The sequence below is a fragment of the Homo sapiens genome, chromosome 5, assembly GCF_000001405.40.
Source record: "Homo sapiens chromosome 5, GRCh38.p14 Primary Assembly".
Lineage (NCBI taxonomy): Eukaryota > Metazoa > Chordata > Mammalia > Primates > Hominidae > Homo > Homo sapiens.
Window position 1 is genome coordinate 16412110 of NC_000005.10, and position 23026 is coordinate 16435135.

General features: G+C 42.7%; 1 long non-coding RNA gene across 1 annotated transcript in view; it reads right to left on the bottom strand.

Moving 5' to 3' along the window:
- LINC02150 (long intergenic non-protein coding RNA 2150) overlaps positions 1–23026 on the bottom strand; it is a 67742-nt gene that overhangs the window by 38749 nt on the left and 5967 nt on the right. The window contains exons 5-7 of the long non-coding RNA NR_104625.1: positions 18939–19003; positions 18677–18869; positions 18282–18495 (exon numbers count right to left, since the gene is read on the bottom strand). This is a non-coding gene — a long non-coding RNA (long intergenic non-protein coding RNA 2150). The remainder of the gene's footprint in view (positions 1–18281; positions 18496–18676; positions 18870–18938; positions 19004–23026) is intronic.

Here is a 23026-nt window from a genome sequence, read left to right on the forward strand (position 1 = left end):
TGTTCCCCTCTGCCAGGACTGGACCATAAACACAAGTCCCAACTTGAAGCAAGTCTGGGAGCATGAATATCCAGCAAGTGTGTATCCCTAGAGGGAAGCTGGATCCACCAGGAAAGAAGCAGATGCAGGGCTGAGGTAGGGACAGAATGGGTGGTGAGTAATAGCCCACACTGGATGACCCAGGGACTCAGGAATGAATGAAGAGAAGAACAGAAGCATTTTTCCTGCCTGTAACTTGGATGGTCTCTCTTCCTACTGCACCAGAAACCATAAAGCATTCCAGTAGTCTCTATGTATCCAGATATATCTCAGAGGTGAAGGTCCAGATACTCAGGCCTCACCATTTTTGGTCACTACCTAAGGACATCAAAAGCATTTCACATCTTTCTAGGCACCAAAAGAAACCTGGGAAGGCATTCTCTTTTTAAGTACGTACCCCACACAGACACACAAATTCTATAAAGGTCTGAAAGGTCTGCCTTAGCTAAGGCTACTACAGCAAAAATACCATGGATTGGGGTCTTAAATGGTAGGTATTTCTCCAAGTTCTGGAGGCTGGGAAGCCTGAGTTCAGGGTGCCAGTATGGTCAGGTTCTGGTGAGAATATACTTCCTGGTTTCAACAGTCACCTTCTTACTGTGTCATCACCTGGCAAAAAGAGTGGGAACTAACTCTCTGGCCTCTTCCCAAAGGGAAGACATTGATGTGTGGAAGCACTTATAAGCATCAGTCAGAGGTTAAAGATTTATAGGCAATAACAAGAGGGACAGAGTTTGATGATTTTTTTAAATATTGCATCTAAATATTATTTATCTTGATTACTGAGTTTGTTGATGCACCCTTAAATTTTGTGTGCAACATAAGTGCCTTCCTCATCTCACCTACTCCTAGCCCTGGTTACTCTTCCCTGACACTTGGTAAGTGCTCAAGGGCAGTTAATTGTTATTTATGGGGCAGCTTAAAGATAAAAATGTATATATTAATAATGTTTTTACAAAAAAAATTAGTGGTGTTTGTTTTCCAATTGGTCTGATGAGAAAATACATTTACAGATCCCTTTCCTGGTGTTTCTGGGTCATTACTTTGCACTGTGGTTTATGAACAGGTCAGAATGTGATTTTTTTTAAAAACTAGCCTGAGTTGTGACACAGCCTGACCCAGAAAGATGTATGACTTGTAATAATGGAAGCAGCCTAAATTCACGTGGAAGAGGTCTGGCCACATCATGAATCTCCATCTGGATCCTTGTGTTAGACACAGAACAAACTCAGCATGGTCCTTTTTGTTTCTTAGCCCCACTTGACTCATTAGGGCTGACTGCTTACCCTGTCTACTGAACTGGGGCTGACAAGAACATTTCTCACTTTATATGACATTTCAGTCACCCACAACAGACATCCCTTCTGAATATGAGGAACATCATGAAAAACATCACAAAAAATGTTTTGATATGTTCCCCCTGGACTTCTATGGCCCCTTTCTTTCAGGGAGTGTAGATCACTTTCTAGTATGTGTATAGCATTCCTGTGCACCAGGCAAGAAGAGACATGATTTCTTCTTCCTGGTAAGTGCAAATGCTGCATAAAGCAGACTCACACCTCCTCACATTGCTGCAGAATGATGTTGTTCAAGCTATTTTCTGAGGCCATGATTCTTGGCCTTCTTTTCACAAAACTCCCAAGTTCATCTTCCTTTCCTCACCAGTGCTTTTACCTCAAGGATTCAAGTATTTAGAGTTCATTTAGAGTTAGTAAAAAGGACCAAATGCTTTTAACTGGGAATCCCATTTCTAAGCCTCATATTAATTCCACAGTTGGTAGAACTCTTCCCCACAGTCATGCATTAAAGGGAATCTTTATGTGATTATCATGGCACCACCATGGTCATTACTGTGGCTATTGGTCAAGAAAGTAGAAAAGGGAAAGTGCAGAGGTATTGGACGTTGGATGGGGCCAGGGTCCTGATGCAGTGAGCATCTTTGGGGAGAGTCAGACAACCATGTCCACATGAACAACCCAGAACAGGTCACTGGAGCTGGTGAACTGGCCCTGAACTCCTGTGAAGAGAGAAGGGACTCTTGCAGAATTCTGGCCCTGGCCTGGGAGTCAGGAAACCAGAAGTTTCACCTAAGATGTTCCCCTAACAAGCAGGGTGACTTTGAGGAACTCACAAAACTGGATCTTGGATGCCTAATCCAGATTATAAGGAATTTAGGCTAGACCAGTTGTTTTCTACATGGGTCCCTCTAACAAGCAGAAGTGCCTTCAGGCCACTGTGGGAATAGGCATAGGGACCCAAGCTCATGGGGCCCAGGAGCTGCCATGTTTGTGACAGAGCAGTTTCCCTTTCATCTGCTTCCTATACTGGGATATGACTTAAGATTTTGTCTAAAAAAAGAGTTCTGCTGTTGGTAATAAAGCAAAGTAAAACAAAATAAAAAAGGAAGGAATGAATGGTCTCAAATCTGCCTTTCATTGTCACTAGTCAATGATTAAATGAAAAGAAAACAATATGGTTTGTAAATTTACCTCTGTCAATACCCTTCAGCCAAAGCCCATCAGGAACACTCCATCATTGAAACTGGGTTTATTATTCATTGCAGCAAGGAAGAGTGTTCTCCAGGAGGAACCACAAAGAGGGTATTAGAAGGAGCCTATCATATGACTGGGGCTTTGATTTGATTAGATCATTGGCAGGGAGAAGGTCTAAGGAAGTGGGAGCTTGGTTTAGATTGGATGCTGCCAGAATGTGGGGAGAATCCTATTATTTGGTATATTAATATTTTCCATGGGGAGGGCAGACTAGAGCAAGGATAAAACTGTAATTGATAAAGAAACAGCGGTCACTCATTTTAGCTGAGAGAGGGAGATGTTTGGTATTTTATGGGTTGCACATGGCCTTGCTTTGTCTCACTTCATCATGGTCTCAGAGTGACCTTGCTTGGTCCTGGTTGCTCTGTGAGATTGTTTATGTAAGCAGGAGAACAGGGCCCAGCTATGAGCTCCAGGCCAGCTTGCAACAGCACTGAGGTCCAGCTAGGAGTATAAGGCTCCCAGATGGCAGAGACTGCTTTTCATTTCTTTATTTTTTACTTCCCTAAAACAATGCATTTTAACTTGGGGCAGAACGTTATATCAGCACCTCTTCACCTGAGAGTCCCTCGATACAATTAGATGCTTCTCTGAGCAACCTGCACAAGATACTCTGTGAAACATTTATGTGAAAAATCATCCTCAAAGTGTCTTCTGCACCAGACACTTTTCTCTTTTCTTACCAACTCCAACTCTCCCTCACCCAGAGATAGCTGATGTGATGCTGAGTTCTGCCCGCTTTGTGCCTCCAATCCTCCAATCCCAGAATTTGGAAATTCTGGGAGATGCCAAACAAATATGAACAAAGAACAAAAGGGGAAAAAAATAAAAATGAGATGGAAAAATATACGGAATTTTTCATAAATGTTGCTCATTACACCAACAAGCCAATCAGAGCAAATACTGCCTGATTCTTTTCATTAGTTAGTGACAGGTCAGTGGCCATATTAGCATCAAGGTAGAATTCCTTGTATAGAGAAAATTTGGAGGGTATGTGTGTCCTCTTGAAGGAAGATGGAGATGAAAAGAAAAATGTTTAATAAACAGTTTATTTTTGGGGGGGTGAAATAGAGAAGGGGATATGAAAGTAAATTGTATTTGAGCTTCTGGTACATAGATATAGAAAATTGGTGAATATCAATTAAAAGCCACTGTCACATACATACATAGACAAACATACATGTTTGAGTTTTTTTTTTTTAACACTATATATGATTCCCTTACAGGAAAAGGGTTACTTAGTGGACTAAGTGATGAGAGGAGAAGGAAATATCCAATGAGAACATTTGGCTTTCCTCATTTTTGAGCAGGTCTACATTATTTATTGCTTCTAGACTGCAAATCTGCACAGCATATTACTGTACTGAATACTGTAGGAAATTATAACATGATGGTAAGTCAAAATATGGTATTATAACCTTATAGTACCACCCTTCATATATGTGATCCTTCATCAACTGAAACATCGTTATATGGCACATGACTGTTTATAATACAATCAAAGAAATGTAAACTGACAAGGCATTTGGCAATATTAAATAATTATTGTTAATTTTTTTAGATGTGACAATGATATTGCAGGTATTTTTTAAAAGAGTCTTAATCCTTTAGAAATACAAAATGGAATCTCTATAGATGAGATAGCATCTGGGATTTGCTTCAGAATAATTGCTCTGTGGGGAGGGAATAGATGAAATAAGATTGGCTGGGTGTTGATAATTGCTGAAGCTGGTGATGGGAATGCTGGATTCATAACAACATTCTCCCTACTTTTAGATATACTTGAAATTTAGGGCCGGGCATGGTGGCTCACACCTGTAATCCCAGCACTTTGGGAGGCCGAGGCAGGCAGATCACCTGAGGTCAGCAGTTCAAGACCAGCCTAGCCAGCATGGTGAAACCTCATCTCTACTAAAAATACAAAAATTAGCCAGGCATGGTGGCTGGTGCCTGTAATCCCGGCTACTTGGGAGGCTGAGGCAGGAGAATAGCTTGAACCCAGGGGGCGGAGGTTGCAGTGAGCCGAGATCACTCCATTGCACTCCAGCCTGGGTGACTCTGTCTCAAAAATAAAAGAATTCTGGACTGTAATTTTTAAAATTTAAAATAAACATACACACTCTTTTACACAATAATTTCACTTTTGAGAAATGATACAAATTATAGACAAATTTTCCTTTTAAAATTATTTGTAATAGAAAGAAACTAAGTGTATCTATTTAGATTATAGTAATTCCTTTCATTATAATATGTAGCCTTTGATTATGTCAAGGAGCAATTTTTAAAGACACGAAAATGTGCTTTATTCTTTGTTAACTAAAATATATATCAAGATTATAATATCTCATATAAGTGAAATATATATTACATAAAAGACTGGATTTATTTCTAAATAAGGCCATGATTATTATTAAAGGGCATGTATAATTATGGCTAAGATTGCAGGTTCCAGAGTGAATTGGAGCCTCAGCCCAGCCACACAACACCTATGATCTCAGACAAATTACTTTGTCTCCATTTTCTAAACTCCCCAGTGGGGATAAGGATGGTACTTACAAAGTATCTACCTAGTAAGTGCTTAATAAGTCTTGGCTATTATTACCATTCCCAGTATCAAGCATATAATAAATGATGACTATTGGTTGCCTGAAATTTGATTATTTGTATGGATCGTACTGTCAACTTGAAATAAAAATACATAAAAAGGATTTATTTAGGAATAAACAAAGAAATAGGATTACAATTTCGGACAGATACAGAGACCAGTGTGGTCTCTGGTATGTCCAGAAAACAAAGGAAAGTTAGAGTTTTACTAGGGAGAGAGGAGGGTATACAAGTTGTTTTGAAAGAAAGCTCGTTGGTGTTGGCATCATCTAACAAGAGCTGGCAAATTCTGATTGACAAGTGTCAGCAGTTGCTAGGTCGGACTTGTAATCTTGGAGTTATGTTTAAGCCCTTGTAGTTTTGAACTGGGCTTGTGAGACAGTTTTTGAAACAAGCAGGTGTTCTTGTATAAGTGGCTAGCCGTCCTTGTGCTGCTAACTTGCCTTGAGTGACTCACGTAGTAAGCTGCAGTTTGAAAACATTTCTTGTGATAGTTCCCATTATCAGGAAAATTGTGCATGAGAGCCCTCCATGGCCTTCCCCAGCTCCATTTGCTAGGGTTTGACACAAGGGACTCCATTTTTGTTATGACAACTTTCACACCACAGTTGACCCTTGAACAACATGGGGGCTAAGGGGCTAACCCTCTGCGCAATAGAAAATCCATGTATAACTTTTAACTCACCAATAACTTAACTAATAGCCTACTGTTGACCAAAGCCTGACCAGTAACACAACCAGTCAGTTAACCACATATTTTGTACTTTATATATATTATATACTGCATTCTTGACAATAAACTAGAGAAAAGAAAATGTTATTGAGACAATCACACAGAAAAGAAAATCTATGTCCTATTCATTAAGTAGAAGTGGATCATCCTGAAGGGCTTCATCCTTGTTGTCTTCACCTTGAGTCAGCTGAGCAGGAACAGGAGGGAGAAGAGGGGCTGGTCTTGCTGTCTCATGGGTAACAGAGGTAGAAGAAAATTCTCATCTAAGTGGATGCGCACTGTTCAAACTCATGTCAAGGGTATTTATAATTTTCCAAAGGGCTGTTGCCACCTTATTGCATTTTATTCTAATAATAACAGTCAGATGATAACTGTTCACAAAATGAAGATGAAAACTTAGCTACAGAGAAGTCGGCCAGACTTTCCTGCGTGACCTTGGTAGTCTGCTGGTGATTCAGAATCTCCCTACCTCAGCCTCCTGGCTTCACTCAGCCAAGACTCCTTATCCACCAACAATAAACAGCACCATGTGGCTGGCTGTTCACCACTGTCCATCAGGCCCAGACATTGTTTTTAATCCCTCTACTCTAACAGAAAATGGTTCCAAATTCCAGGACTGAAGCGATAAGAGCTCCCCTGCTAAGCACTCAGAAGCCAGATGCCATTTAATGTGCCTGGGGCCGCCGATAACTGATAGCACTCCACTACTCCAGCTAAATTTAATTTCTCCTGCCTCTGCTCGGCTTGTCTGGGCACCTTTAGAAGGGTGTTGTCCTGACAGCTGTCTTGATTCTGATGAGCTTTGTCTGCACCTGATTAGCATTCTATTTCTATGCAAATAAGCACTTGCCTTTGTGGCTCCTGGATTAATGGACACTGTGAATTGGAGCCCTGGTCTTCAGAATCCAGAGAGCTGTGGAATAAAAGGGGTGGATGGGACTTTACAGAATCAGAAGCCAAATGTCTTCATTTTAAAGATGAGGAAAGTGGGGCTGAGAGTGACCTAGTGGGTTTCCCAGGTGCATATCACTAGTGAGTGCAGTCAGTCCCAAAATTTGGATTATCATAGCCCATATTTTTATCTCTATGCTATAAGCCCCAGTTCAAATGAAAAAAAAGTTACAGATTTCTGATTACTATCAATTATTCAGTGTGTGTGTGTTTGTGAGAGAGAGAGAGAGAGAAAGGGAGAGGGAGAGGAAGGGAGAGAGATGCAAAAACAGAGGTAGGAGTGCATTTCTCCAAAGTGTAGGACTCACTCCTTTAAAGGGAGTGCTCAGTTAATAAATTCTAAAAAAAACTTCTATTTTTTAAATAAAAGTTATATTTAGTAAATGTATATGTTTAAATTATTGACCATTTTATTTGCTGAACAGTTTCATTAAGCTGATACTAAGAGTACAAACACATACTATGAAATGAATGACCAATAAATTTTTTTTTTTTTTTTTTGAGGCAGAGTCTCATTCTGTCACCCAGGCTGGAGTGCAATGGCGCTATCTCCGCTCACTGCAAGCTCCGCCTCCTGGGTTCACGCCATTCTCCCGCCTCAGCCTCCCGAGTAGCTGGGACTACAGGCGCCCGCCACCACGCCCAGCTAATTTTTTTTTTTTTTTTTGTATTTTTAGTAGAGACAGGGTTTCACCATGTTAGCCAGGATGGTCTCGATCTCCTGACCTTGTGATCCACCCACCTCGGCCTCCCAAAGTGCTGGGATTACAGGCGTGAGCCACTGCACCCGGCCCCTAAATATTTTAATATAAAAGGAGAGAGAAGGTTGTGGGGAGAAGCTATAAGTCAAAGGGAAAGATAAAAGAGGGGCACATCATTTGAAGATGAAACAGAAGGGAACCACGATTGCTTCATAAAAAAGTAAATTATTATAACTGACTTCCACCTCCCATAAATAATGGCAAATCAGCCACAGTCCTTGTCAGGCCTCTGAGCCCAAGCTAAGCCATCATATCCCCTGTGACCTGCACGTACACATCCAGATGGCCGGTTCTTGCCTTAACTGATGACATTCCACCACAAAAGAAGTGAAAATGGCCTGTTCCTGCCTTAACTGATGACATTGTCTTGTGAAATTACTTCTCCTGGCTCATCCTGGCTCAAAAGCTCCCCTACTGAGCACCTTGTAACCCCCACTCTGCCTGCCAGAGAACAACCCCCTTTGACTGTAATTTTCCTTTACCTACTCAAATCCTATCAAACGGCCCCACCCCTATCGCCCTTCGCTGACTCTCTTTTCGGACTCAGCCCACCTGCACCCAGGTGAAATAAACAGCTTTATTGCTCACACAAAGCCTGTTTGGTGGTCTCTTCACACGGACGCGAGTGAAATTTGGTGCCATGACTCGGATCGGGGGACCTCCCTTGGGAGATCAATACCCTGTCCTCCTGCTCTTTGCTCCCTGAGAAAGATCCACCTATGACCTCAGGTCCTCAGACCAACCAGCCCAAGGAACATCTCACCAATTTTAAATCGGGTAAGCGACCTCTTTTTACTCTCTTCTCCAGCCTCCCTCACTATCCCTCAACCTCTTTCTCCTTTCAATCTTGGTGCCACACTTCAATCTCTCCCTTCTCTAATTTCAATTCCTTTCATTTTCCGGTAGAGACAAAGGAGACACGTTTTATCCGTGGACCCAAAACTCTGGCGCCAGTCACGGACTAGGGAAGGCAGCCTTCCTTTGGTGTTTAATCACTGCAGGGACACCTGATTATTAACCCAGGTTTCAGAGGTGTGAGACCATGCAGGGACGCCTGCCTTGGTCCTTCACCCTTAGCAGCAAATCCCGCTTTTCTGGGGGAGGTGCAAGTTCCCCAACCCCTTTTCTCCGTGTCTCTACCCCTTCTCTGCTTTTCTGGGGCAGGGGCAAGAAACCCCCAACCCCTTCTCCTTCACCCTTAGCGGCAAGTCCTGCTTTTCTAGGGGAGGGACAAGTACCCCAACCTCGTATCTCTGTGCCCCAACCTCTTATATCTCTGTGCCCTGATCCCTTATTTCCACACCCCAACCTCTTATATCTCTGCGCCCCAATCCCTTATTTCCACGCCCCAACCTCTTATATCTCTGCGCCTTGATCCCTTATTTCCATGCCCTGACCTTGTATCTCTGTGCCCCGACCCCTTTCCCACTTTTCTGGAGGGTAAGAACCCCCGAACCACTTCCCTCCGTGTCTCTACTCTCCCTTTTCTTTAAACTTGCCTCCTTCACTATAGGCAACCTTCCACCCTCCATTCCTCCTTCTTCTCCCTTAGCCTGTGTTCTCAAAAACTTAAAACCTCTTCAACTCACACCTGACCTAAAACCTAAATGTCTTATTTTCTTCTGCAATTCCTCTTGACCCCAATACAAACTGGACAGTAGTTCCAAACAGCCAGAAAACGGCACTTTCAATTTTTCCATCCTGCAAGATCTAAATAATTCTTGTCATAAAATGGGCAAACAGTCTGAGGTGCCTGACGTCTAGGCATTCTTTTACACATCAGTCCCTCCCTAGTCTCTGTGCCCAGTGCAACTCGTCCCAAATCTTCCTTCTTTCCCTCCCGCCTGTCCCCAGTCCCAACCCCAAGCGTCACTGAGTCTTTCTAATCTTCCTTTTCTACAGACCCATCTGACCTCTCCCCTCCTCCCCAGGCTGCTCCTCACCAGGCCGAGCTAGGTCCCAATTCTTCCTCAGCCTCTGCTCCTCCACGCTATAATCTTTTTATCACCTCCCCTCCTCACACCCGGTCCGGTTTACAGTTTCATTCCGTGAGTAGCCCTCCCCCACCTGCCCAGCAATTTCCTCTTAAAAAGGTGGCTGAAGCTAAAGGCATAGTCAAGGTTAATGCTCCTTTTTCTTTATCAGATCTCTCCCAAATCAGTGAGCATTTAGGCTCTTTCATCAAATATGAAAAACCCAGTCCAGTTCATGGCTCGTTCGGCAGCAACCCTGAGATGCTTTACAGCCCTAGACCCTAAAAGGTCAAAAGGCCGTCTTATTCTCAATATACATTTTATTACCCAATCTGCTCCCGACATTAAATAAAACTCCAAAAATTAAATTCTGGCCTTCAAACCCCAGAACAGGATTTAATTAACCTTGCCTTCAAGGAGTAAAATAATAGAAAAAAGTTGCAATTCCTTGCCTCCACTGTGAGACAAACCCCAGCCACATCTCTAGCACACAAGAACTTCCAAACGCCTGAACCTCAGCGGCCAGGCATTCCTCCAGAACCTCCTCCCCCAGAAGCTTGCTACAAGTGTCAGAAATCTGGCCACCAGGCTAAGGAATGCCCGCAGCCCAGGATTCCTCCTAAGCTGCATCCCATCTGTGTGGGACGCCACTGGAAATTGGACTGTCCAACTCACCTGGCAGCCACTCCCAGAGCCCCTGGAACTCTGGCCCAAGGCTCTCTGACTCCTTCCCAGATCTTCTTGGCTTAGCAGCTGAAGACTGATGCTGCCCAATCACCTCGGAAGCCCCCCAGACCATCACGGACGCCGAGCTTCCGGTAACTCTCACAGTGGAAGGTAAGTCCGTCCCCTTAGTCAATACGGAGGCTACCCACTCCACATTACCTTCTTTTCAAGGGCCTGTTTCTGTTGCCTCCATAACTGTTGTGGGAATTGACAGACAGGCTTCAAAACCCCTGAAAACTCCCCCACTCTGGTGCCAACTTGGACAACACTCTTTTATGCACCCTTTTTTAGTTATTCCCACCTGCCCAGTTCCCTTATTAGGCTGAGATATTTTAACCAAATTATCTGCTTCCCTGACTATTCCTGGACTACAGCCGCATCTCATCGCCGCCCTTCTCCCCATCCCAAAGCCTCCTTCGCGTCTTCCTCTCATATCCCCCACCTTAACCCACAAGTATGGGACATCTCTACTCCTTCCCTGGCAACCGATCACATACCCGTTATTCTGTTCTGGAACTCAAACATGCTGTCTTTACTATTCCTTTGCATCCGTCATCCCAGCCTCTCTTCGCTTTCACTTGGCCTGACCCTGACACCCATCAAGCTCAGCAAATTACCTGGGCTGTACTGACGCAAGGCTTCACAGACAGCGCCCATTACTTCAGTCAAGCCCAAATTTCATCCTCATCTGTTACCTATCTCGGCATAATTCTCATAAAAACACACGTGCTTTCCCTGCTGATCGTGTCCGATTAATCTCCCAAACCTCAATCCCTTACAAAACAACAACTCCTTTCCTTCCTAGGCATGGTTTAGTGCAGTCAGAATTCTTACGCAAGAGCCAGGACCGCACCTTGTAGCCTTTCTGTGCAAACAACTTGACCTTACTGTTTTAGCCTAGCCATCACGTCTGCATGCAGCAGCTGCCGCTGCTTTAATACTGTTAGAGTCCCTAAAAATCACAAACTATGCTCAACTCACTCTCTACATTTCTCATAACTTCCAAAATCTATTTTCTTCCTCATACCTGATGCATATACTTTCTGTTCCCCGGCTCCTTCAGCTGTACTCACTCTTTGTTAAGTCCCACAATTACCATTGTTCCTGGCCCGGACTTCAATCCAGCCTCCCACGTTATTCCTGATACCACACCTGACCCCCATGACTGTATCTCTCTGATCCACCTGACATTCACCCCATTTCCCCATATTTCCTTCTTTCCTATTCCTCACCCTGATCACACTTGATTTATTGATGGCGGTTCCACCAGGCCTAATCGCCACACACCAGTAAAGGCAGGTTATGCTACAGTACAAGCCACTAGCCCGCCTCTTAGAACCTCTCATTTCCTTTCCATCATGGAAATCTATCCTCAAGGAAATAACTTCTCAGTGTTCCATCTGCTATTCTACTACTCCTCCAGGATTATTCAGGCCCCCTCCTTTCCCTACACATCAAGCTCAAGGATTTGCCCCCACCCAGGACTGGCAAATTAGCTTTACTCAACATGCCCCGAGTCAGATAACTAAAATACCTCTTAGTCTAGGTAGACACTTTCACTGGATAGGTACAGGCCTTTCCTACAGGGTCTGAGAAGGCCACCGCAGTCATTTCTTCCCTTCTGTCAGACATAATTTCTCAGTTTAGCCTTCCCACCTCTGTACAGTCTGATAACAGACCAGCCTTTATTAGTCAAATCAGCCGAGCAGTTTTTCAGGCTCTTAGTATTCAGTGAAACCTTTATATCCCTTGTGGTCCTCCGTCTTCAGGAAAAGTAGAACGGACTAAAGGTCTTTTAAAAACACACCTCACCAAGCTCAGCCACCAACTTAAAAAGGACTGGACAATACTTTTACCACTTTCCCTTCTCAGAAGTCAGACCTGTCCTCAGAATGCTACAGGGTACAGCCCATTTGAGCTCCTATATAGATGCTCCTTTTTATTAGGCCCCAGTCTCACTCCAGACACCAGACTAACTTAGACTGTGCCCCAACAAAACTTGTCATCCCTACTATCTTCTGTCTAGTCATACTCCTATTCACCGTTCTCAACTACTCATACATGCCCTGCTCTTGTTTACACTGCCAGTTTAAACTGTTTCTCCAAGCCATCACAGCTGATATCTCCCGGTGCTATCCCCAAACTGCCACTCTTAACTCTTGAAGTAAATAAATAATCTTTGCTGACAGGACTATGCTGAATTTCCTTAGGCACTCTAATTAGATGTCCTAGGTCCTCCCAATTCTTAGACCTTTAATACCTGTTTTTCTCCTTCTCTTATTCCATTTAGTTTTTCAATTCATACAAAACTGTATCCAGGCCATCACCAATAATTCTAAATGACAAATGTTTCTTCTAACAGTCCCACAATATCACCCCTTTCCACAAAATCTTCCTTCAGCATAATCTCTCCCACTCTAGGTTCCCACACCGCCCCTAATCCCGCTCGAAGCAGCCCTGAGAAACATTGCCCATTATCTCTCCATACCACCCCCCAAAATTTTCACCGTCCCAACACTTTACCACTATTTCACTTTATTTTTCTTATTAATATAAGAAGACAGGAATGTCAGGCCTCTGAGCCCAAGCTAAGCCATCATATCCCCTGTGACCTGCACGTACACATCCAGATGGCCGGTTCCTGCCTTAACTGACAACATTCCACCACAAAAGAAGTGAAAATGGCCTGTTCCTGCCTTAACTGATGACATTGTCTTGTGAAATTCTTTCTCCTGGCTCATCCTGGCTCAAAAGCTCCCCTACTGAGCACCTTGTGACCCCCACTCTGCCCGCCAGAGAACAACCCCCCTTTGACTGCAATTTTCCTTTACCTACCCAAATCCTATAAAACAGCCCCACCCCTATCTCCCTTCGCTGACTCTCTTTTCGGACTCAGCCCACCTGCACCCAGGTGAAATAAACAGCTTTATTGCTCACACAAAGCCTGTTTGGTGGTCTCTTCACATGGATGCGAGTGAAAGTCCTCACCTCCATCTACCAGAGTAGGACTAGAAAATGCCCAGGGTCAAAACAGGGCACAGAGAGGACAAAAATGCCCATGCTCTCCTAGACAGAAGGAGATTGAGGAGCTCTGCTGCTGCAAGGATCCTAATGCCACCCAACACTGAGGGACACGCAAATCATAATGCCACTCAACACTGAGGGACACGCAAGGATCCTAATGCTACCCAACACAGGGACAAACCGGTGTTGCCTGTACACAGGTCTTCTGGAAGGAAACAGCCTTTTGAGGCATAGCTGATAAATATTGGACTGGGCCTGACAGTGTCCGGTGGAAAACTGATTGCAGCACTGAGAATATCTGCAAAGGCTTGGGAGCGATTTTGTTGATCATGACAACATGCCTGGGAGAGAAATTCAAACACGAGGCACTGGCTTTAGATGGCAGGATGGCTTTAGCGGGCGAGAAGGCCCCAGAAGGCTGCAATGGATGTAAAATGGGCCTAAGGACAGTTCAGAGGGGTCCAGCAAGACCCAGCTGGATTCACACATGCAGTTTGCAGAACTGTGACCCCTGTGGGCACCCAGGTCCATACACTGATATGCTTGGGAACCGATCAACGTTTTTGGTACCAGAATGAGGAGAGGGAAGTCATGTGTGCAAAGGGAAGAAAGGAGGCCGAGCCTGAGACAACCTAGCAGCTGTCCCCCTTCCTCCCTGCCCCACCCCATCCCACCCAGACCAGATTTGAGCCCTAGAAAGAAGTCAGATAACAGCATGAGGTAGCAATGTTAAAGAATGGGCAGCTGTGGTGGCAGGAGAGGGGGTCTCCTTCTACAGAAGGCACTGAAGGCACCTTTCTAATCACTTTACATACATGCTGTCACTTAATTTTCATGACATAACAATAGTAGGTACTACTATTATCCATATTTTACAGATATGGAAACCAAGGTACAGAGAAGGTAAGTAGTTCCCCCAAAGACACAGAGTAAGAGGTGGAGCCAAGATTCTAGGAGAGATGGTCAACTCAACTACTGAGCAATGCTGCCTCGGCCACACAGGCGACCATGCTCCCAGTACCTGGGTAACACAGGAGCCCCTCGCCCCTTTCCAACCCACTCTTCTCAGAAACTTCAGAGGATTCTTTGCACCATTAGGACCCTGAAGGCAAGCAGCTTTCAGGATGTGGAGTGGAGCAGGATCTCACAGAGGCCTTGGGGCAGGGACGGCAGTGGCCCCTTGGCCAGGAGCATGCAGCAGACAGGGCAGGCAGGCTTGCTCCTGGTGAAAAAGTGACGCCCACTCAGACACACCCACACCACACACCCAGGGCCATATCCAAATTGATGGCCCATCAGAAATTAAGAAGCCATCCAGAGGAAAGATCTTTTCCCCAGCAACAGGTACATGAGTATGTGCTGTGTGTTGAACAGAAGGACCGAGCTCCCACAAGAGGATCCAAGGAATGTGATTGGTTTAGTCCTGGCCTCACCATCTCCCTTAAAAATCCAGTCAACAGGACTCACTTATGCTCCAAGCTCTCGAAGGAGATAGTCAGAAAAAGGAGAAAGAGAAACCCCATAATATCCTGCCTTCATTCTTCCTCCATGCCCAGACATTACCCTGACCAGTTCTCTTCGGGGCTAATGTCAATATCCTTAATACCTCAAATTATGGGCATTTAAGGGAAGAAATTAACCAAGCTAACTATACCATCTCAGAAACCTATTCACATAACCACCAACCTCACTGAGCCCCAGTGACTTAGGAATACTCTCTGGGCTACTAAGCTAGAGTAAAAAAACTAGGCACTTGGTGAAATGGGAGATGTAAAATGTGAAATGGTAGATTGTGTGCACCATTAAAAACAAGGAAGCTGGGCACGGTGGTGAGTGCCTATAGTCCCAGCTCCTTGGGAGGCTGAGGAAGGAGAATCACTTGTTTGAGGCCAGCCTAAGCAACATAGTGAGATGGCTTCTTTTTGGAAAAAAATAAAAATAAAAAGGAGAAGAAGCCAGCCAGAGCACTATTACTTCTGCTGGAGTCTGGGTTTCTCACCAGGTGTGTCCAATGTCCTTCATTTTGGCCATCAGCAGATTATGTATTCTGTTTTGGCAGAGGGAGCTGGTCAGAGGTGCCACCCAGGGAGAACTTAGCTCTGCCCCTCCCTCGAGATCCAGGTGAGGATGGCTTCTGAATCTTGTTGCCATTAGGAGAGAGGAGCTCCCCCAATGCAGCCTGCTTTGTGTCCGCAAAGAAAACCAGCGCATTATTATTCCTCTGTCATCCTAAGAGTTGCTGAGCCTTGAAAGCTCCAACAGAGGCGGCTGCTGGAACGTGGCTGCGGGGGCAGTGCCACATCTAATTGCTTCACACACGGCTGCCAGTTTATGGGTCCTTCGCTCTGCATTTAACACCGTAGCTGCTGATGGACTTTCGCTGTTGGAAAATATGACCCGGTCCTCTGCACACGGTTTTATAACTGATGGGGGAAGATGCTCTCTCATTTGGTAAATTGTATCTGGCCTTTCCAGCTCAGTGGTCATTAATGTTTGTTCTCATCCAAGGAGCAGATTCAAAGAAATACAGCTCTCATTAGCTCCTGCTCAATTAAGAAAAATGCTCATCTGCCCCCATGACTCAAACACAGCTTCCTAGCTGGAGCTGTTTGAGTTCCACAGCTGGAGAGACTGGGGAGGTCATCCAAGCCATCTCTGATGCTTCAGCCCCAGCCCCAGCCCCAGCCCCAGCAACATCCAGACTGCAAATCCCCTCCAGCACCTCCTGCCTCACTCATTCCACACCTGCCTCCTAACGAGCGAGGACTACAATAAGTGACCCTGCTGAGTGCTTGCTGTGTACCAGGTGCTGTCCTAAACGATGTGCATGGCGTAGCTCACATAGGCATGCTTACAAATCTATGATCTCCAAAGTCACAAGAACGCTCTGGAGCAGGGTTCAAGTTCGACTCCTGACACCTATGTATGGGCTGTGTGAACGTGGAGAAATCACAAAGAGAAGACCCACATTTTTGTACTTAAACCAGATCCAGGTGTAATAAGGTGAATCTCCGGGGTCAGTGCCTCTATGGATAAGTTATCTTCACTTGGTTCTCTTTCCTCAGACTATTCCCAGGCAGCTGACTTCCACATCCTTGTGATTGGCCTCCAGGGGCATGAGGGAAAAGGAGAGAATGAATCAGCCAAAATCCCATCACTATCCTTGGAAAAAATGCCATGTGATGTTATATTCTAAAATTTGCAAGTTGGAGCTGAAAATAATCAGCGGTAGGTGTGTTAACTGGCATGGCCTCTATGGAGGACAATTTGCTAATATGTCAAAATTTCAAATGTACATCCTCTTTGACCTGGCAATTCTACTTCTAGGAATGTATCCTGAAAAATAGGTTTGGTGAGGGAAAGTGTGTGTTCAAGGATATTTATGTCTGTATTGTCTTACTAGCATAAGCCTGGAACAATCTAGATGAGGACTGACTAAATAAATTATGGTATATTTGCACAATGCCATATTATGTAGCAATAAAAAGGCAGCTTTAACTAGATTCAAGTGGAACAATCTTCAAAATATTTTAAGTGAAAAAAATCAAGGTGTTATTGTACTTTTTTTAAGTATTTATACTCAGCTGTTTATATATCATAGAATATCTCTAAAACAAAATCAACAATCTGATCATAGTTGCTGCCTCTGGGGAAACACTTTAGGTGGCTTGAAGTCAGGAGTGAGAGATAATTACTTTCACTGTGTAACCTTTTGAATCTTGAATTTATGTCATAGGAATGAACTACATATTCAAAAAGCAAACTGTATGTCATTAAAATATTAAAAATATTGATGTTTCAATAGACAAAATGCTTATTATTTATTTATTTATTTAGTTGATATTTTTAAAGGGGGAAAGAGGCCAGGCATGGTAGCTCACACCTGTAATCCCAGCACACTGGGAGGCTGAGGTGGGAGGATTGCTTGAGCCCAGTAGTTCAAGTCCAGCCTGAGCTGGACTCTCTCTCTAAAAAACTGAAAAATAAATAAATAAAGACAGCCATGATGATGCAGACCTGCAGTCCCAGCTACTGGGGAGGCTGAGGAGGGAGGATCACTTGAACCCAGGGGGTTGAGTCTGCAGTGAGCAGTGATCTCACCACTACACTCCAGCCTGGGTGACAGAGCAAGACCTATCTCCTAAAAAAAAAAAAAAAAATCAAAGGGCCGGGCACAGTGGTTCACACCTGTAATCCCAGCACTTTGGGAGGCCGAGGTAGGTGGATCACCTGAGGTCAGCAGTTTGAGACCAGCCTCACCAACATGGTGAAACCTCATCTCTACTAAAAATACAAAAAATTAGCTGGGTGTGGTGGTGCACACCTGTAATCCCAGCTACGCAGGAGGCTGAGGCAGGAGAATCGCTTGAAATCAGGAGGCAGAGGTTGCAGTGAGCTGGGATTATGCCACTGCACTCCATCTCAAAAAAAAAAAAAAAAGAACCAATTGAAAATCATAAATCTGCAGAGGACAATGAAAAAATAATAAGGTAAATATGCAGAGAAATAAACTGGCATTTTTAAGGGAGATGGTGAGGCCAGGACTAAACCAATCATATTCCTTGGATCCTCTTGTGGGAGTCCTTCTGTTCAACACACAGCACATACTCATGTACCTGTTGCTGGGGAAAAGATCTTTCCATGGGATGGCTTCCTAATTTCTGATGGGCCATCAATTTGGATACTTTGGGAGCAGCTAAAGACCTGTTCTCAGGCTTCTTTGAGTACTGTTATGTCTCCTAACCAGCTTTCCCCCATGAAGCCTCTCCCCATCTGTGATAATTCATTTTATGTACCAGTTTGGCTGGGCTATGGTGCCCAGTTGCATGGTCAAACATCAGTCTAGTTGTTGCTATGAAGGCAGTGTGTAGATGAGATAAACATTTGCATCAGTAGACTTCAAGGAAAGCAAACATACCTTCTCTAATGCGGGTGGCCTCATCCACTTGGTTGAAGGACTTAGGAGAAAAAGCCTGAGATCCTCCGAGAAAGAGGGAATTCTGCCTCTGCACTGCCTTCAGACTAGAGACTGCAGCATCAACTCTTCCCTGGGTCTCCAGCCTCCTGACCTGCCCTGCAGTTGTTAGACTTGCCAGCCCCACACTTGCATAAGCCAATTTCTAAAAATAAATCTCAAGAGAGAAAGAGAAAGAGAGCAAGAAAGAGTGAAAGAGAGAGAGAGAGAGAAAGACATACTGTTGATTCCATTTCTCTGAGAACCCTGACTAATACACCATCCAGAGGAATGGCTCCCCACCATCACCCATCCCACTTCCCACATCATACTTGGTGAAGCCTCTGCTATTCTCTTACCTACCAAAGTGCGTATGTCCAGTCCTGCTGCCTAGGCTGGAAGGTCCTCATGAGCCGGTGCTGTGTCTCCATCATCAATGCATTTCTAACATTCAATGGAGTACCTGCAAGTGCTCGATAAGGATGTGTTGTTGAATGAGGCTGCAGTTTTAGTGACAGTGCTCCCAATGCCGAATGCTTAGGTTTGACTCATCTGTAGGTTCATATACAAATCAGCACATCAATTAGGAAGAACATGAAAGAAAAGAAAAACAATCCTTACCAGTTGTTTTCAATTACCAGGACCCTTTGTTTGCCTTGCCGCTTCTTACCCAGCTACCTGAAGACCTGTAAAAGGCAATTTACTGTTCAGAATTAATTGAGCAGGCCACCGTAGTCAAGATGCCACAGTGTTGGATTTAGCCTACACTGTATCCAAAATTAAAAAGCAAGAATTCTCTTTTGAAATAAGATGTATTCAAATAGAAAAAAATTATAAGAAAAACTTATCTGTGATCATCACCCTTCCTTGTACTCCAAATGTGTGCTGAATTTTAATGTCCATTTTAAAGAGGAAATTATGACCCTCAAGCCCAAGATCAAAATATCATTTCTGAAAATCAGATTGAATCTTAAATTAGAAACTTCTGCAGACATCTTCCACAAAAGTTTTTTTAATCATTTGTCATATTTTTAAAAGATTACAAGATGAATTCATCTTCGATTAGTCAATCTGAATCCTCAGGTGAATAAAGAACCAATTGTGTTAGTTTTCTGATCAGTAAGACTATTTTCAATGAGCACCCAACACCAACAATCTTGTCCCATAGGAAAACTGATTTATAAGCATGTCAAATGGAGATTTTATTTCATCCTGCCTTCAGCTGTCAACAAAAGACTTAGCGGCTCTCCCCAGGGAGCAAGGAGACGAAACAGTAGGAGACCTTCAGAGGTCAACCTTGAAAGCAGGCAACACTCAGTTTTGACCTGGTCTATTGAAATCAATATGGCATGGCATAGAGAAAGGAAGCAGATGGCAGAGTATACTTACATCAATATTTTTCTTTATTACAGAATTTGCATTAAATTTTGTTAAAGGACAAGTGGATTCAATTGACCATGAGAGATACAAAAGGTATATGCCATGAATCATATCTTAAATGAATTTTAATCAACACTATAGGATTTGCAGTACAGGCTTATTTTTCTTTGAACAAACTTATCTTTTTATTTCTATTCTTTGTTATGTAGAAAAATACAGTATAAGACATAAAAAAGAGAAATATAACCTGTATTCCCACCATCAGATGATGCCATCAACATTGCAGCATATTTGATCACAATAGCTTCTTTATGCATTTTATATCATTGTGAACTCTGCTTTTTCCATTTACACTAGAGTAAAATAATTTTCTGTTATTACCTTTCTCTTCCTAATAGGAGTTCCTATTATCATCATTTTGGGAGGTTAAGCCTTTTCTAAACCCCAGAGCTCATAAGCAATGGAGCTGAGACTGTAACCCTGACCTACCTACCTTCAAAGACCATACTGTTTCCACTAAGTCAAACTACCTTAAAAATACTTATTCCTTTTGGCTCAGTAAGTCACCTTTTGGGAATCTACATGGAATCTGAAATGTACGAGATAAGCCTGGGACATTTTGAGATGCAAGAAAGCAAGAAGCTACTAAGGACTAAATAGGTCACGTCAAAAGGAAGCAAACGAAAAAGATCCCAAAATGACACAATGCAGCTACCCAAAAGAATAATAATCACTCTCCGTTAAATCATTAAACATAAAAATCAATGAGTTCATAATGATACTTTTTTAAAACTTGCTTATGAGAGCACCAACTCATTACTCTGAAAATTGATAAATACATAGAAAGAATCAAGAATTTATCCTTTCTTGTACAAATTGTAATTCAGGGCAGCCAAATACTTGATGAGGATAAGTCTTTATCGAAGAATTATGGATAACTAATGCAGAAGGAAGGACAGATTAAGAAAATTGCCATTTCAATCCCTCATGAAACCCTGGATCTGTCAATGGTCGTCAGTGAATGTTAAAATCACAGGTGAAATACTTGTGGGAGACTTTTAGAGGATGGAGCATCCTGACATCACCAAGACTGATTCCTGGCATTACCAAAAGTGGAGCAAACAGATGTCATGAGTTCATGGTATGATTCCACAGGAAGTACATAGCATCAGAAATATTATAATCTAAAAAGCATTTTAACCTTAATTGATTTAAGGCTCAGATCTAACTATCAGTTTATAGGAAATAGAAAAAAACAGAGGAACAAGTTAAAAACATCACAGAGAAACAATTATGCAAATCTAGATGTAGATCTAAAGGATAATCTGATTTTTCTAACAAATTCAATGGCATGAAAACAATTGAGGAGTGAGAAGGAGGGACAATGTAGACTGAAATAGCTAAGAGAAATTATTATTAATATTATTCGAATAGGCCAACCGTAAAAGAACAACTTTCAGACAATTAAAGACATTTGAATATGAATTGATATTAGAATATTTTTGATATTTGTGTTATTTGTTTGGTATGATAATACCTAGGTGGTTTTTTTTTTAAAGTCGGGCTGCTTAAATGTATATAAAGAACTTACAAAGAAAATAATATGATATCTAGTATTTGCTTCAAATATTCCAGGAAAAAAAAGTGTGTGTGTGTGTGTGTGTGTGTGTGTGTGTGTGTGTCTGTGTGTTTGTATGTGGTGGGAGGGAGAGAGGAGACGGAGATGATTAGATGAAACAGGAGTTGCAAATTGTTGACAGCTGCTGAAGCTGAGAGATGAGTCCATGAAGGTTCATTATCCTATTCTCTCTACTTTCTGTATGTTTGGAACATTCCATAATAAAATTTAAAAAAACCCTAAAAAATGATGCATATGAGTACATCAAAACCTATAGAAATGAAATTCCATATATGCCAGGACTAGAAAGATATGGAATAAATAACTGTAAAAAAAATGTGAGAAAATCCTACTCCATATGTTATATGCTGATTTCTGATTTGCATTTTAAATGGAATCGCTCCAATATTATCTGATTAGTTTTGAAATTGATGATTAAAATAAAAGATTGATCATCTTCTACATTTTTTGGCACCTTACACCATCACCAATTTAAGTATTAATAGAAGGAGCATCAAAACTATCAATCTAAGAAATTCAGAATGAAGAGGTCTGTGATATGCTCAGTGAACATGTCTTTGTTGTGGCAATGAAATAATTTGGAGATGGAAAGAGAACATAAATTCTGCAGAACAATTTTCTGTGCTCCTCTTTAAACAGGTTAAGGTGCTGATTTGGTTTTTCGAAAACTGAAGCTGTGGATCACAAAACAAAGCAAAATTAATTGTGAGTAAATGGAAGAAAAGATCACTTGTAATGACACTTCTTTCCAGGGATATGGTTAAGCAAGATAATAGCATTCAGAGGGTAAAAATAAGTCCATTCACTAATGCCCACACACATTCCATATAATGACAGATGGAGACCTAATTTTAAAAACATACTACATTGTAAAAATACTTTGGAAATATCTAACTAAACAGTGGATTAGAACTTGATTAAAAATAAATGATTGAAATGCCAAAAGCTCATTAAAGGGAAGATGCTATGTAGAGTTGACTCCCCAAAGAAACAAAGCCCTTTGTGTTCAGTAAAATATTTTCAGCTGAATGAAACTACTGAATATTTTAATTTTCAGTTTGTGAGGGAAAAATTATTTACACTTAATCACTGGTTTGTTTTTAACCCCAGAATTATAACAATTAGGAAAATAAGAGGCATTTATAAGATGCTTAAAGCAGGTCACACTCTCAGGACAGGTTCCCAGGAACTGGACTCTGCGATGGAAAGTTACATGCAGGAGCTTTACTGGGGAATGTTCTCAGAAACAGCACCTGGGAGGGGTGAGGGAAGCAGGATTGGGCACACGGAGAAGTAGAACTGTGATGCGGTTGCAAGAGGCCACAACAGATACCAGGAGAAGACCAAGCAGAAAGGCCCTTCAGAGCTTTCATAATCTAGGCAAGGGGGGCCAGGCCCTTGTATTCTCACATAAATCCAATACCCATGGAAGTGGGTATTGGAAGAAGTAGCTCCTTTTGGCCAAGAGTCAATCCCAAGAGGAACTCATGGATGAGTACCTTTGCAGGAGTGAGAAACCAATGCTTCTGACTGCTTGGAAATGAATGCTTTGATCCTGAAGGAAACATGTGGGGAGTGTATCTCCCCTCGCATTGCAGCCCCCACCCTTAGCCTCCCTCCTTCATGTAATAACTTCATCCCCTCTGAGAATAGCTCCATGGGATTCTCAATGATCTATTTTTCTTTGGAA